Source organism: Homo sapiens, chromosome 14 (genome assembly GCF_000001405.40).
Source record: "Homo sapiens chromosome 14, GRCh38.p14 Primary Assembly".
Taxonomy (NCBI): Eukaryota; Metazoa; Chordata; class Mammalia; order Primates; family Hominidae; genus Homo; species Homo sapiens.
The window spans coordinates 53819931-53836847 of NC_000014.9; the positions used below are offsets into that span (position 1 = coordinate 53819931).

A 16917-nucleotide genomic window follows, 5' to 3' on the forward strand; every position below is an offset into this window, starting at 1 on the left:
AACCTCAAAGTACTCCCAATCAACTGTGCAAAAGCCATTTCAAATGAAAGACCAATACATTTTTATTCTTGACGATTAACCCCATTATCCATGGAGATGCCATTCTTAACGAGGGTCTACACAGACTTTCTCTTCTGTCTTGTTGTGAAAAGAGAGATCATCAATACTTATGAGAAAAGCTATTTTGTATGCAAAACAAGGGCAAAATCTTCATTTGCATAACGAGTTACTTCTTTTTAAAAAATGTAAAGTCTATATTTTACAATATTAAAGCAAAATAGAGAGTATAAAGGAATCACCTGTAGTTCAGATATTGGGGACCAATTAAAGAATTACAGTAAGAAACAAGTTTAGGATAAGTATTATAGTTGGCTTATTTTAATTCCACTAAAATTAACTTTGCAACTTCAGTTTCCAGCAATATCACAAACTAGAAATCTAGAAATGTTTATTGTTTTTAAAAGTGGTGAATAAAATATACCAAACATTTTAGTAGCAAGAAAGTAAGGAAGCTGCAAAGGTTAAAATGAAGTAAGAATCCTCTAAAGTTATCTACTATTTGTCTAGCTTCTAGAAATATAATAGGAAGAAACAACTTTCAAAGAGATAACAGCGGAGACTTTCCCAGAATTGTTGAAAGATACCAATTATCAGATTCAGAGATCCCAACAAATCACAAGAAAAAGAGAATTATACTCCTATACATAATGATAGTGATACTTAAAAATACAAATGACAAAAAGCTTTCTTCAAACAAGCCAGAGAGAAGACATATTGTATTAGAAGAAATAACAATTAGACTGATAGCTCTTACTTTCAACAACCACAATGTCACCAAACAATAGAATGATTCCTCCAATGAGCTTAAAGAAAATGTAATTGGACCTCTGTATCTGCAGCTTCCGCATTGGCGGATTCAACCAACCCTGGATGGAAAATGTAGTTAAGCCTACAATGATTGTAACTGTACTGAACATGTATAGACTTCTCTTTCTTCTAATTATTTCCTAAACAACGCAGTATAACAACCACATATCATTTACATTATATCAGCTATTATAAGTAATTCTAGAGATGGTCAAAAGTGTATGGAAGGTTGTGTGTAGGTTATGTGCAAATACTACACCTTTTATATGAGGACTCAACCATCTTCAGATTTGAATATTGGCAGGGAGTCATGGAACGAATGCCCTGTGAATATTGAGGGACAACTGGAACTCTCAATCCAGAATTCTAAACCCAATAAATTATCACTTTAAAACACAAGAAAAAACAGGGACTTTCCTCAGATTTACCAAAAACCAAACCAAACAAAAACAGACTTGTTACCTTTTGCCCTATAGACCTCACTAAAGAAAATTCTAAATTATTTATTTTAGGCAGAAGAAAAATGATGGAAGGTGTGAAATATGACAGAATGGTAAAAACATATACTTCTAAATAAGTGGGTAGATCTAAATCTATGATTCTGAACCAAGAGCAATATTCCCCCTTGGAACATCTGACAATATCGGGAGACATTTCTCCTTGTGGCAACTGGGTGAAGGGTGTGCTGCTGGCATCCGGTGTGGCAGCCAGGCCTACTGCTGAACATTCATGGCATATCAGACAGCTCCACACAACAAACAATTATTGCTCAAAATGTCAGTAGTGCTGATGCTGAGAAATGCTGATCTAAATTAATACTGTGTACACCAATAACAATAATTTGTCTTGTACAGTTAGAACTAAAATACCATCCACTAAAACATAAAGTATAAGCAGAAAGGATGGTGATTAAAGTGTTCCAAGGTGTTTGTCTAATTTGGGAGGAGGGAAAATGTACTGATTAACTATAGGCTTTGATAAGTTAAGTGATCATATTAAAATATTAAAGACAACTACCAAATAAATACACCTTAGAAATTATGTTCTCTATCCAAGTATAGGGTAATATGGAATGAGAACAGATAGAAAAACAATAAAGAAGAAGCAAGAATGGAGAAAGAAAACTAAAAAGGTGGAAAAAATGTAAAGAATATGGCAGAAATAAATACGAATATCAGTAATCAAAATAACTATAGATATACTAAAACTCTCCAGTTCAAAGAAAAATCTTCTCAGTCTAGAGTGAGGGCAGTGTCATACACTTTTAAACAACCAGCTCTCATGAGCAGTCATTCACTATCACAAGAACAGCACCAAGGAGATAGTGCTAAACCATTCGTGAGAAACCATCCCTATGATCCAATCACCTCCCACCAGTCCCCACCCTCCATCATTGGGTATAACAATTTGGATGGGGACACACATCCAAACCATATCATTCCCCAACTCATTGAGTAAGGCAAGTACACCTGTAACATCAAAATAGATAAGAATAATACACCAAAGGAATATCACAAGATAATAGTCATAGATAAAAAAATAAAAATTCTAAGCAAAACAGTAGGACCCAAATCATTAGTATCCAAATCTGTCAATGTATAAAAAAAAATTTCATGAATAAGTAGAGTTTATCCTAGATAGGCAAAGTTGGTTTAATATTAGAAAATCTGATATAATTTACCACATTAATAATTTAAAAGCGTAAAAAACCATGACCAACTCAATAGATGCAGAAAAATTATTTAATAAAATTTAACATACTATTTTATTTTTATGATTCAAGAAAACAAGAATAGAATAAGATGCTACTAAATGATAAAGGACTTTTGCAAAAAGTAGGTAAAAAAATTACGTACTTAATGGTAAAATATTAAGAGCTTCAAAACCAATACAAATATATCCATTCTTACCTCATCAATTCAAAGATGCACTGAAAAACCCAGACAAGAAAAAATAAAGAATAAAAAAGTAAAGATCAGAAAGAAAAAATTCTGGTATTATTGGTAAATGATGTGATTGTCTAATTGAAAAATTCAAAAGAATTTCCATATAAATTATGAGAATTAATAAGAAAGTTTATTAGTTTAGTGAGTTTTCTGGATATAAAGTCAAAGTCAATTGCATTTCTATACACCAGCAACAAACTATACAAAATATATATGTATATTTGTATATGTATATATGTGTATAGGTATGCATATGTATAGATATAATTTGTAAATATAAAATGTATATATAATTTTCTAAAGTGTTGTTCACTACAGCAACAAAAAATAACATACCTAGGAATAAATCTTCAAAATGTATATGACTTTTATGAAGTAAATTATAAAATGTTACTGAAATACATTAAATGAGATCTTTATAAAAGAGATATCACATTTACAGATAGAAAGACTCAGTAATGAAAAACATGTCAATTTCCCCAGTTGACCTAGAGATTTTGTATAATTTCAGTCGAAATCCTATAGAACTTTTTTATTGAGTTAATCAAGACAATTTTAAAATAGAGAAACATGAAGAACCAAGAATTGCCAAAACACTCCCGAAGAAACACAAGCTGAAGAGACTGCATCTACCAGAGAGAAAGACTTTTTATATGGCTATAATAAAAATAATATAATGTTAGTTAAAAGAGAGACAAAAGACCAATGGAACAGATTAGAGAATCCAGAAATAGAACCATAATAATATAGAGAAATCTGCTTTATGAAAGAGCAGGCAGGGCAAATCAGTGAGGATGAACTCTTTAAGATACAGCACTGGGACAATTACAGCTCTATATGGAAAAAGATCAGTGAAATTGTATTTTCATCTCACACTATTTACAAAAGTTTATTGAAAGTATTATACAAGGAAAATTATAAAACTTTAAGAAGACATCGTAGAAGAATAAATGTATGCCTTTGGTTAAGGAAGGATTTCTTAAACAGTATACAAAATGTGCAAGCCATAAGAAAAAAAGATTAAGTGAAATTATATGAAAAGAAAGACCTTTGTTCTTTAAAGGATGCCATGATGAAAGTGAAATTACCAGCTACAAATTGGGATAACTTATTTGCCACACATATAATGGACTAAGAATGGTAATCAAAATATTGTAAAAACTCCTAAAAATCTATTTTAAAAAATCAAACAATCCAGTAGAAAAATGAGCAAAGAACTTAGACACTTGGAGGAAGAAAAAACAATGATGACCACTGAATATATAGAAGTATGCCCAACCTCATTTATCACTAACTAGATGTGTTAGATTACGTTGTATCAACTTAGTTAAGCTGGGAGCTCTTTTTCCCAGAGTCCCTGTCCTTCTATCATATTTGGTTAGAGTTGATAAAACATAGTAATTTGGAAGGTGGATGTGAAACAGTGGTTATAACCCTCTGAAGGTCTTAGTGACGAAGAAATGCAAAAGTACCCCACAGGTTATAGTTTAACCAAGAGCTGTGACCAACTCTTCTTCACTACTGGCCCAGTAGTCAATGGCCCAGGCCCCTCAACCAAATGTTTGGCTGTGGAGCCACCAGCCAGTTTCTGCACAAAAGCAAGAGCTTCCTCTGCACCTCTTCACAAACTTCCTCTTTATGGTCCTACTTTCTCAGCAGGATGTGCTTTATTTATCAATCACCCTGCAAGCTTTGACTTGCCCCCCATGCCAGTGCTGCGGGAAGCTGCTTAGGGACTAGCCATCTCTGACCCCTCAACCCCTTGTAGTCTTTCACCTCCCTGGTTCCTCCCACATTCATGTGAGCTCTAATTGCAATGATAAATTCTTTATCTTGTAATAGTTATCACGACTGTGCTTCCCCAACTGGACTCTGATTGATACATCAAACAAAACACAACAGTGCTATTGGTATGACTTCCTTCACCTCCTTCTGGTCTTTGTTCAAATGCCCACCTGACCACTCTATTGAAGTTCAGTCCCACCCCAGCACCAGCACTACCTAGTCCCGCTCTGTTTTAATTTTCTCTTTAGTACTTACCAGATACTAAAATACTAAATAACTTTCATATATATTTTATTTGCTGTGTGTATTCTCCACTAGAATGTAAGTTCTATGAGGGCAAGGGCTTTAGATTTTGTTTTGTTTTTGTTTATTTTGTCTGTTTTATTCACTGATATGTCTCTATCAGGCACTTAATGAATGTTTGTTAGGTAAAAAAGTGGGATTTAATTTTGCATACATTAGATTGGCAAAATAACTAAAAAGTCAAAACATGCCAAAAATCCGCAAGGATGTAAAGCGAAGGGCATTTTTATACATTTATACTACAATCACTCTGAGAAAAACTTGGCATTACCTAGAAATTTAAATATGTATATATCCTACAACAGAGGGGTCCTCAACCCCCAGGGGCCACAGACTGGTACGAGTCTGTGGCCTGTTAGGAACTGGGCCGCACAGCAAGATGTGAGTGGCAAGCAAGCGAGCAAAGCTTCATCTGTATTTAGCCACTCCCCATGGCTTGCATTACTGTGTGAGCTGTACCTCCTGTCAGATTAGTGGTTCTATTAGATCCTCATAGAAGCGTGAACACTATGGTGAACTGCACATGTGAGGGATCTTGGTTGTGCTCTCCTTATGAGAATCTAATGCCTAATGATCTGTCACTATTTCCCATCGCTCCCAGATGGGACAATCTAGTTGCAGCAAAACAAGCTCAGGGCTCCCACTGATTCTACATTATGGAGAGTTGTATAATTACTTCATTACCCATTACAATGTAATAATAATAGAAATAAAGTGCGCAATAAGTGTAATGTGCTTGAATCATCCCAAAACCATCCCCCCGACAACCCCTGGTCTATGGAAAAATTGTCTTACATGAAACCAGTCCCTGGGGCCAAAAAGGTTGGGGACCACTGCTACAACACAGAAATTCCACTTCTAACTCCTCACTGAAGGGAGAAAGGATAATCTCTGCCACAGCTGTAAAACAGGAATCTATACAGCAGTGAAAATGAATGAATTAGATTTGTACACAAAAATGTAATTAATCTCTTAAGTATAAAGTTGAGCAAAGAGGGATTCATAGCATAGAGCATTATTCCATCAACATAAATTTCAAAAGTATGGAAAACTAAACATTGTATTTCTAGAGATACATACAGATGTGGTAAAACTATTTAAAGAAAGAAAACAAATAATAGATAAAAAATTCAGTCCAGTGGCTGTCTCTGGGGCAGGGAGAGGGATGAAATTGAAGAGGAGCACCTGGAATTTTTCAGGAGATTATTAATGCTCTATTTATTAAGCAGGATGGCATTTTAATGAGTTTTATTTTTGATATATTTAATATTTTACCTAAATTTTTATTTTTTATTTTGATTTTTAAATTTCTATATATTCATAGTGTGCAAGTGCAATTTTGCTACATCAATGTATCACATTGCAGTGAAGGCAGGACCTTCGGTGCATCTATCACTAGAGCGACGCACATTGTACCCACCAAGTGACCACCCGTCATTCACCCCCTTAAAATTTTATTTTAAAACTTTTGCCAAAGAGATGATACACTGTCCAGAAATAGGAAAACTTTGTCATGAATTAGTATAATAAAATTGAATCCTAGTTTTTATGCCTTTTATTCATCCTTAAGATAGTACTTGAACTGACAAATACTTCTTAAATTCTTTCAAAATTGTATATTTGAAGTTTTGGCCTAGGCTCTTGGATTACAAGAAACAGAAGTCCCCTCAAGCCAGCTTAAACAAAAGTAGAAATGAATTTTAAGGAATATACTCTACGTCTCACAGACCCCAAGGATAAGAATGTAGCCAAGCCTGGAATTGGGAATGGAAAGAGGTCATGACAGTTTCTCTGTTTCTGCTTCTTTCCTCAATTGGTCTCATTCCTTCCTCTTTTCACAGTGGCTTTCCTTGCTATTCCATCCACACTGTAAAACCATACTCCCTGGCAGCTGTGGTTTATTTGTTAGAGTTCCAACATGAGACAGTGATTAATTAGTTCCAAACCTCAAATTAAAAATTTCAGAAGAGAATCTGATCACCCCAGCTTGAGTTGGGTGTTATATCAGGCCAATTGGCTGTAACAACAGGGTCTGGTTCACACAGCACAAACATGGCTTCCACAAGCACTGCAGTTTTAGTGAAAGTTCAAGGTAAAGGGAGTTATAGTGAGCTGCAAAGGCTGCTACTACAACTGGACAAAATGTAAGGCATAAATGGGGGGATCATCAATGTACACATTTAATCTTCTAAGTATTGCTGCCTTATTTATCAAGCAATCTTATTGGCATTTATAAAATCTGTTCCAAAACAGTCTTCCATGTCTAGAGTAGTCATCACAGACTTTGAAAAATCTCTTTGGGTAAGCACAGTGGCTCATGCCTGTAATCCCAGTGTTTTGGAAGGCTGAGGTGGGAGGACTATTTGAAGCCAGGAGTTCGAGACCAGCCTGGGTAGTATAGCAAAACCCTGTTTCTATGAAAAAATTAAAAATTAGCCTGGGTGTCATGGCATGAGTCTATTAGAGTCCAGGAGCTTGAGGTTAAAGTGAGCTATGTTCATACCATTGCACTCTGGGCTGGGAAGAAGAGCAAGAAATGGTCTCTAAAACAAAAGAAAAAGAAAAATCACTTTAATAAAGATGCAGGATTTCATTACAGGTATTTTGAAAATTTACTTCCGATAAAAACGTAAACCTATAGGTTCAATAATACTATGGAAATCTCCTTTCTTCACCCTCAATCCATATTTTGAATGAAAACTACCATCCTCCTACAAGAATTTACATCCTTGGCCATAGTGTTCGGTCCACAGATAGTCATATGACCCAAGCCAGGCTATAAAGAGCCTTTTCATGAGATTTTTTTCAAATCAGAGCTGGGAATAAAGAGTTCTTTCCTTTCTAGTCACAGAACTGTTAGCGAGTGAATCCGAGCTGTGCCATATGTGATGTGATATAATATTTGAAGTTTGACTATGATATGTTAAAAATACACATTATAATTATTAGAGTGATCACTAAAATGACAAAACAAAGAGGTATGGCTAATAATCTTTTAGTGGACTAATAAGCCAATAGTGAACATAAAAATGGAACACTAGCAAACACTCACTTAATCCAAAAGCAGGGAGAAAAGAGAAAGAGGGAACAAAACCCACAAGACTAAAATAAGACAAATAGCTGGATGACAGATTTGAATCCAATCATATTAGTATTTATATTAAATGTAGATGGTCCCTCCAGAATGAAACTATGATGATGGTTGAACAATCCTGTGAATATACTAGAACACATTACGTTGTACACTTTAAATGGGTTAACTAGAATGGGTATGCCAACCATATCTAAATAAAGCTGTTTTTAAAATGTAAATGGTCTAAACAAACACCCTCATACAAAAGGCAGCAATAAAGGAGCAATGGCCAACCTAATTTTTAAAAGCACGTACAACATCCTGTCTATAAGAAATCTACTCTAAAAATAAAGGTACAGGTAGGACAAGAGTAATAGGTTTTAAAAAGGTATACCAGAAGAACACTACAGCAGCTTTATTAACATCACATAAAATATTACTCAGAACAAGTAATTTTACCAGGAATAAAGGGCATTCAATTATAATGAAAGAATCAATTCATTAAGATGACCTAACAATTCTAAATGTGTATCCTCCTAATAATAGAGCTTCAAAATACATTAAGCAAAAACTGACAGAACTGCAAAAAGAAATAGAAAAATTCATAATTATACTTGAAAATTGTAATACCCTTCTCTTAATAATTGATAGAACAAGAAGACATAAAGTCTATAATAAATGTAGAAAACTTGAGCAGGGAAGGGGAGGAAGATGGCAGATAGGAGGCAGGGCTAACTTGCAGCTCTTGCTTGGACAGACAGAACAGCGTATGGAGACTCACAGGTGAATGTTTTCTCCAAGAACCAGTGTGGAAACATACCAGGACAGCCAAAAGAATTCACACATCCTTTGAAAGAAGCAGCATGCCACTGCAAATTCTGCAAGATGTGAAAAACTGTGAGTTCCCAAAGTGTGAGGGGAAAAATCTGCCTCTGAACACACATCCCCACTGGGGACTCTGAAAAGCCCGGTCACAGAAGAAGGATTTAACCTTATCTAGAGCTGAAACAGTTTTAGGGAGCCAACGAAACATAAAAGTAGAAGCACCAGTGGGAAGAGCCTTGTAGGCACTCCCAGTCCCCAGCTCGAGCCCAGGGAAGCCATCCCTGACTATATCTAACAGGGGCCCTCAGGGAAGGCAGCAAGTGGAATTAGGGAGGGGTCATGGGGTGAAAGAAGCTTCCAGCTGAATTTTGTAATAATTTCAACTGGGAACAAATTTTCTTGAGCAGAATCCAGGGAACGAACAGGAACTGCTGCAGATACAAGCACAGGAGCTGCCACCAACATTGGGCAGACAGGGAGGGGCAAGGCCTGAAAACAGTGCTTGCTTTCTCGGTGGGGAAGCTTTAGGCCTGGGGCAAGGTCTGAGTTCCATGTGCAGACTGACTGGATCTAAACTTGGTGCTATTAGTAGGTCACTGTGGAAATAAGACTGGCCTTGCCAACTGCGTGGGAACTGGGTGAGGCCTTTCACTACCAGCTATCCCCCTCTTCCCTGGCAAACTATATGGCACAGCAGAGGCAGCCATAATCCTTTCTGGAACATAACCCTATTGGCCTGAGAACCATCCTCCCATCTCTCACAGTGACTGTGGCAAATCCTGCCCAAGGAGGGTCTGAGCTCAGGCCCGTCTAAACCTTCCCCTACCTGGTGGCATTTCTCTACCTGCCCTGGTAGCTGAACACAAAAGACATAAGCTCTTTGGAGCATTATGGTCCTGTTCATCACCAGAGAAACCAGAATACCTACTTGGCCAACTTAGGGCAAACTTATATCCCCCTTCAACTACTGCAGATGGTGTTCTCTTGAAAGCATCACCTCTTGGCAGAAGGCCAACCAATTGAGGCCATTACAGCAATGCATGACAGAATAACCCTGCTCCCAGAAGGGAGAAAACAACAGCTAATACCACTGCCTGGCATATCTTGGCTACCCAGAGGTCCTTAGTCTGCCCACATGACAACTTCACTGCTAGTATAACCAGCATTCGAGAAAGCCAGAACACTGAACAAAACCACAATGAGGAACTCTCAGAGAGTCTACTTCATTCCCCTGCCAACTCCACCAAACCAAGTGCTGGTATCCACAGGTGGGAAACCTGAAGACAAATCATATCACAGGACTCTTTTCAGACATTCCCCAGCACCAGTCCAGAGCCTGGGAGCTCCGCTGGATGGCTAGACCCAGAAGAGCAATAACAATCACTGCAGTCTGGCTCTCAGGAAGCCCCATCCCTAGGGGAAAGGGGAGGGAACCCCATCAAGGGATCACGTCATGGGACAAAAGAATCTGAACAGCAGCTGTTGAGTTCCAGATCTTTCCACTGAAATAGTCTACCCAAATGAGAAGGAACCAGAAAAGCAATTCTGGTAACAGGGTTCTATAACACCTCCAGAAGATCACACTAGCTCCCCAGCAATGGATCCAAACGAAGAAGAAAGCTCTGAATTGCCAGATAAAGAATTTAGAAGGTTGATTATTAAGCTACTCAAGGAGATACCAGAGAAAGGTGAAACATAACTTAAAGAAATTAAAAAAAAACAGGATATGGATGAAAAATTCTCCAGAGAAATAGATACAATAAAGAAAAAATAATCATGACTTTGGGAAATCAAAGACACACTTAGAGAAATACAAAATGCTCTGGAAAGTTTTAACAATAGACTAGAATAAGTAGAAGAAAGAACTTCAGAGCTTGAAGACCTGGCTTTCAAATTAACCCAATCAGACAAAGACAAAAAAAAAATCTAAAAAAATGAACAAAGCCTCCAAGAAATTTAGGATTCTATTAAATGGCCAAACCTAAGAATAACTGGTGTTCCTGAGGAAGAAGGGAAATCTAAAAGTTTGAAAAACTTATTTGAAGGAATAATTGAGGAAATTTTCCTTGCCCTGGCTAGAGATTTGGACATCCAAATACAAGAAGCTCAAATACCACCTGGGAAATTCACAAAAAGATCATCACCTAGGCACTTAGTCACCAGGTTATCTAAAGTCAAGCTGAAGGAAAGAATCTTAAGAGCTGTGAGACAAAAGCAAGTGGTAACCTATAAAGGAAAACTTATCAGATTAACAACAGATTTCTCAGCAGAAACCCTACAAAACAGAAAGGATTTGGGTCCTATCTTTAGCCTCCTTAAACAAAATGATAGTGGGCCAAGAATTTTGCATCCAGGAAAACTAAGATTCATAAATGAAGGAGATAAAGTCTTTTTCAGACAAGCAAATGCTGAGAGAATTCATCACTACCAAGCCAGCACTACAAGAAATGCTAAAAGGAGTTCTAAATCTTGAAACAAAACCTTGAAATACACCAAAATAGAACCTCCTTAACGCATAAACCTCACAGGGCCTATAAAACAATAACACAATGAAAAAAAGAAAGAACAAGGTATTTAGGCAACAACTAGTATGATGAATAGAACTGTATCCCACATCTCAATACCCACTTTGAATGTAAATGGCCTAAATGCTCCACTTAAAAGGTACAGAATGGCAGAATGGATAAAAATCCACCAACCAAGCATCTGCTGGATTCAAGAGACTCTCCTACCACATAAAGACTCACATAAACTCAAGGTAAAGGGGTGGAAAAAGATATTCTACATAAATGGAAACCAAAAGCAAGCAGGAGTAGCTATTCTTATATCAGACAAAACAGACTTTAAAGCAACAGCAGTTAAAAAAGACAAAGAGGGGCATTATGTAATGATAAAAGGATCAGTCCAACAGGAATATCACAATCCTAAATATAAATGCACCTAACACTGGAGCTCCCAGATTTATAAAACAATTATTACTAGATCTAAGAAATGAGATAGATGGCAACACAATAATAGTGGGGAACTTCAATACTCCAGTGACAGCACTAGAGAGGCCATCAAAACAGAAAGTCAACAAAGAAACAATGGACTTAAACTGTACCCTAGAACAAATGGGGCCTTAACAGATGTTTACAGAACATTCTACCCAACAAATGCAGAATATATATTCTAATCATCAGTGCATGGAACATTCTCCAAGATAGACCATATGATAGGCCATAAAACAAGTCTCAATAAATTTAAGAAAATCAAAATTATATCAAGTATCCTCTCAGACCACAGTGGAATAAAACTGGAAACTAACTCCAAAAGAAACTCTCAAAACTATACAAATACATGGAAATTAAATAACCTGCTCTTGAATGATCTTTGGGTCAACAATGAAATCAAGATGGAAATTTAAAAATTCTTTGAACTGAACAATAATAGTGACACAACTTATCAAAACCTCTGGGATACAGCAAAAGTACTGCTAAGAGGAAAGTTCATAGCATTACATGCCTATATCAAAAAGTCTGAAAGAGCACAAATAAACAATCTAAGGTCACACCTCAAGGAGCTAGAGAAACAAGAACAATCCAAACCCAAACTCAACATATACACTATGGAATACTACTCAGCCATAAAAGAAATGAAATAATGGCATTCACAGCAACCTGGATGGAATTGGAGACCATTATTCTAAGTGAAGTAACTCAGGAATGAAAAACCAAATATCATATGTTTTCACTTATAAGTGGGAGCTAAGCTATAAGGGCGCAAAGGCATAAGAATGATACAATAAACTTTGGAGACTTGAGGGGAAGGGTGGGAGGGGGTTGTGGGATAAAAGACTACACATTGGGTACAGTGCACTCTGCTTGGGTGACGGGTGTGCCAAATTCTCAGAAATCACTACTAAATAGTTTACCCACCTGTTCCCCAAAAACTACTGAAATTTTTTTTCAAAATTGAAAGACATCACTAAGCAATTAGACTTAGTTGACATTTTTAGAACACTTCACCTAAATATAACAAAATACACATTCTTTTCAAGTGCACGTGGGACATTTACCAAGATAAATCATAAGCTGTGCCATAAAACAAATCTTGATAAATTTACAAGACATGAAATTATACAATATGTTCTCTGATGATCATAAAGTAATTATATTAGAAATCAATAATAAAAATCTAGAAAATTCCCCCAAATATTTAGATATTAAACAACACACTTCTAAATAACTCATGGAGCAAAGAAAAATTACAAGAGAATTTGGGAAATATTTTGAACTGAATAGAAAGGAAAACATGATATCTCAAAATTTATGGGATGAACCTAAAGTATGCTTAGAGGGAAATTTATAACTTTAAATGCTTATGTTAGAAAAGAAAAAAAAATCTATAATTAATCATCTAAAGTTTCATTTCAAAAAGATGGAAAATGAAAAGCAAATTAAACAATAGTAAATATAATAAATAATATAATAAAGATAAATGTGGATATCAATGTAATAGAAAACCAAAAATTAGGAAAATCAGCAAAGTCAAATTGTTCTCTGACAAAAATTAATGAAATTGATAAAATGCTGAGAAGACTGATTAAGACAAAAAAGAGATAAAACAAAATTACCAATAGCTGAAAGGTAAATAAATGGAGATATCATTGGAGATTCTACAGATAGTAAGAGAATAAAAAGAGTATATTATAATCAACTTCATGCAAATAAGTTCTAAATTTCTTAGATAACAAGGAACTTACCCAAATTATTAAATAAAAATAGACTTATTCCTCAAAAGATAAACTTACCAAAAGTGAAACCAAAATAAATAGAGTATTTAAGTAGTCCTATATGTGTTACAAAAATTGAGTTTGTAAATATAAATCTTCCCACAGAGAAAACACTGGGCCCAGATAGCTTCACTGATGAATTCTACCAAACATTTAAGGAAGAAATAATATCAATTCTACACACTTTCAAAATATGGAGGACAAATATATGAGGCCCCATGACCCTGATACTAAAACCTCACAAGGATATAGCACAAAAAAGGAAATAAAATTTATTGACCAATATCCAACATTTTTATGAATATAGATACAAAATATTAGTAAGGTGGTGAAAATGTTGAGTAACTGAAACTCTATTACCTTGCTAGTGACAGTATAAAGTGATATAACTACTCTGGAGAACGCTTTGACAGTTTCTTTTAAAGTTAAGCATAGGTTTAACATATGATACAGTAATTACATTCCTAGTTATATACTCTAGATAAATGAAACTACATGCCCACAAAAATATTTGTGCAAAAATCCTTATAGCACTCATATTTATAATAGCCCCAAAGTAGAAACAGCCCAAATGTTCACGAATAGGATAATGGATGAGCAAGTTGTATATTTATATTATAAACTGTAGATGTTAATTTAAAAAACACTACTCATACACATGAAAGCATGGATGGATCTCAGAATCATTATGCTGAACGGAAGAACCCAGACACAAAAGAGAATATACTTCAGGATTTCATTTAAATTAAATTCAAGAACATTATCTATGATAATGGAAGTCAGAACAGTGGTTATATCTGGGGTGGAGGGAACTGGAGACATAAGGAAACCTGAGCTGTCAGAAATGCTTTATATCTTGATTAAGATGTTTATTGCATGGATGTAAATATGTCTCAAAACTCTCACAGAACTATACACTTAAAATCTGTGCATTGATTGTATATAAATTATACTTCATTGAAACATGACATTAAGAAAAGAGCAAAAAACACAAGGGACTTCCACTAATTAACAGTCCCTTCATTCTCCTCTCTTGACACAGTTTTCATTAGAGAGCAAATCTATTCACAGCCTCTACTGCCACATCTATTCCCAAATGGACTTCCCTGAACATCATTCTTTATCTGCCAAGTACGCCAACATTTTCCCTTTCTCTCAGGCTTGAAACATTATACTCAAACATCTGCAGACATAGAGATTGAGTGAAAAAAGACAGTCACAACTCTTTCAAATCCTCCCTTTTCCAATGTTCTTAGCATTTAACTTCTTTCCTTTCTCCTGTCATCTTTCTTACTCAAGTCTACTCGCCTCAAACTTGGTTCATTATAAGAATTCCCTGACTCAATCTCTTTCATTCTAATCTGTCTCACAAATCCACTGCTATCAGATTAATTTTCCTGGTATAATTTTTTAACTGTGTTATCTGCCTACTCAAAATCTTCAGTAGGTGCCCATTCCTTAGAATGGAACTCAAGACTTTCATAATTTGGCCAACTCAGCTCTATCCACTGATGTGCTGATCGATGCTAAACAACTGGGAAAGGGGCCTATTTCTCTGGTGTGCATGCACCCACCATTACTAATTTTGAGCTACCAACGGCTTAACAACTGACTCACAAAACTCTTAGAAATTTAACAATCAGCTCTCCCATGAGCCAGTATGACTTGACTCCAGCATTCCATTGTCTCTACCTGTTGGAATCGCAATAATATCTTCTTTTCTAGCTAAGCTGTTCTGCTGATTACCCTGACAAGTTCACAAATATTGCATAAAACATACTCACACTAAAACAAAATTTATTGTTTATCTAAAGTTAAATTTAATAAAGTGTCCTATATTTTATCTGGCAATTCTAACCTGAATTGTCTTTTCCCCTCCCATAGTTTAAATATTTTCCCACTTGTCCCTAGAGTCACTCACACCCTTTATAGCATTCCTTAGCACATTAAAAAATACCACTATTAAACTATCCAAGCTATATAAGAACTACAACGTATAAACACCCCCAAGAAAATGGAAATAATGGTCTTTTTGGAGTTATGTTATAAAGTGAAATGATGATGGATCCAATCCAATGATGGATTCCTACAAAGTTATAAAAAATCAAATTAAAGAAAGAGACTTAGGACTATGCATTATCAAACAGACATCAACTCTTTTTATGGTCTATAAAGATATCTATTTCAATAATCCATAATTTCAGTGCAACTCAATAAAATTCCCTTAAAGATTTTCATAAAACTTAACAAACTTATTCTAAAATTTACACAAAAGAATCAAATTGCAGAAACTAATCAATTTAATACCATTAACATGAAAAACAATATGGGTTGGGGGGCAGATAATACAAGGAAGAAAACAGTATTTTTTCCTTCACCTTCCTTAGGCTTATGGCTGAGGCTCCTATAACAAAGGATAAATTAACAAGAAAAGCATATAAATTTATTTAATAAGTTTTATGTGACATAGAAGCCTTCACAAGAAAATGAACACCTGAAGAAATGGATAAATCTGTATATCTTTAAGCTAGGTTTGATGAAGAGCGGGAAAAATGTGGAGAAAAATGGTAGGGCAAAAAGGGTATCAGCTAATGGTAATGAACTGGGGGGAAGTTTGCAAGGCCTATTTCTTCAGATTCTTGTCTGTGAACCCTAAACAACCAAATCTCATGTGAACACAGAACAAGAACTCACTCATTATCTTGAATACAGCAGCAAGTCACTCAGGAGGGATCTTTAGAGATAAGGATACTTTTTTCCTCCAAGTCTGAAGAGGGTGCCTCTCAATGAGGGTCTTAGGACCTGCCGCAGGGGAAGGTCAGATGATCCTTCCCAGATTTTATGACCTGCTTTGGGGAAGAAGGGCTGGGAAAGGTGAGCATGACCTTCCTGTTTCAGTCATTTTCTCAAGTTATTTCAGCTTAAAATATTCTAGGGTATTGTTTTCCTGAATCCCATCAGAAGATTTTCTTTATAAAATATCAAGATTTATTATAAACTTCTTGGAACTAAAAAAAAGTGTTATGTATTTATTAAAATAGTTATAGACAAATAGGCCAATGGGACAAGATGCATAGCCCAGACACAGACCCACATTTACATAGAAACTTAATACCCACAGGTCTTACCTAGAGATCTGATTAAAATGCAGACGCTGATTCATTAGGTCTGGGATAAGTCTAGGATTCTGCATTTCTAACAAGCCTTCAGGTGATGCTGATGCCCTGGTCGGTCACCCACACTTAGAGAGCTAGGTTAATCTGGGATATTAACCATGGTGAGGAGACATAAATAAATAAGGAAGTTCTAAGTAGGCCAATGAGAATTTTATCAGCAAAGGGAAA

General features: G+C 35.7%; 1 long non-coding RNA gene across 10 annotated transcripts in view, besides 1 other annotated feature; it reads right to left on the reverse strand.

Moving 5' to 3' along the window:
* LINC02331 (long intergenic non-protein coding RNA 2331) overlaps nucleotides 1–16917 on the reverse strand; it is a 165830-nt gene that overhangs the window by 134934 nt on the left and 13979 nt on the right. The window lies entirely within an intron of this gene.
* Nucleotides 9792–9871: an enhancer, noted in NCBI's record as "active region_8407". NCBI's record gives its function as "activates an Ori minimal core promoter by ATAC-STARR-seq in GM12878 lymphoblastoid cells {active_cell/tissue: GM12878}" and the evidence as "EXISTENCE:reporter gene assay evidence [ECO:0000049][PMID:35858748]".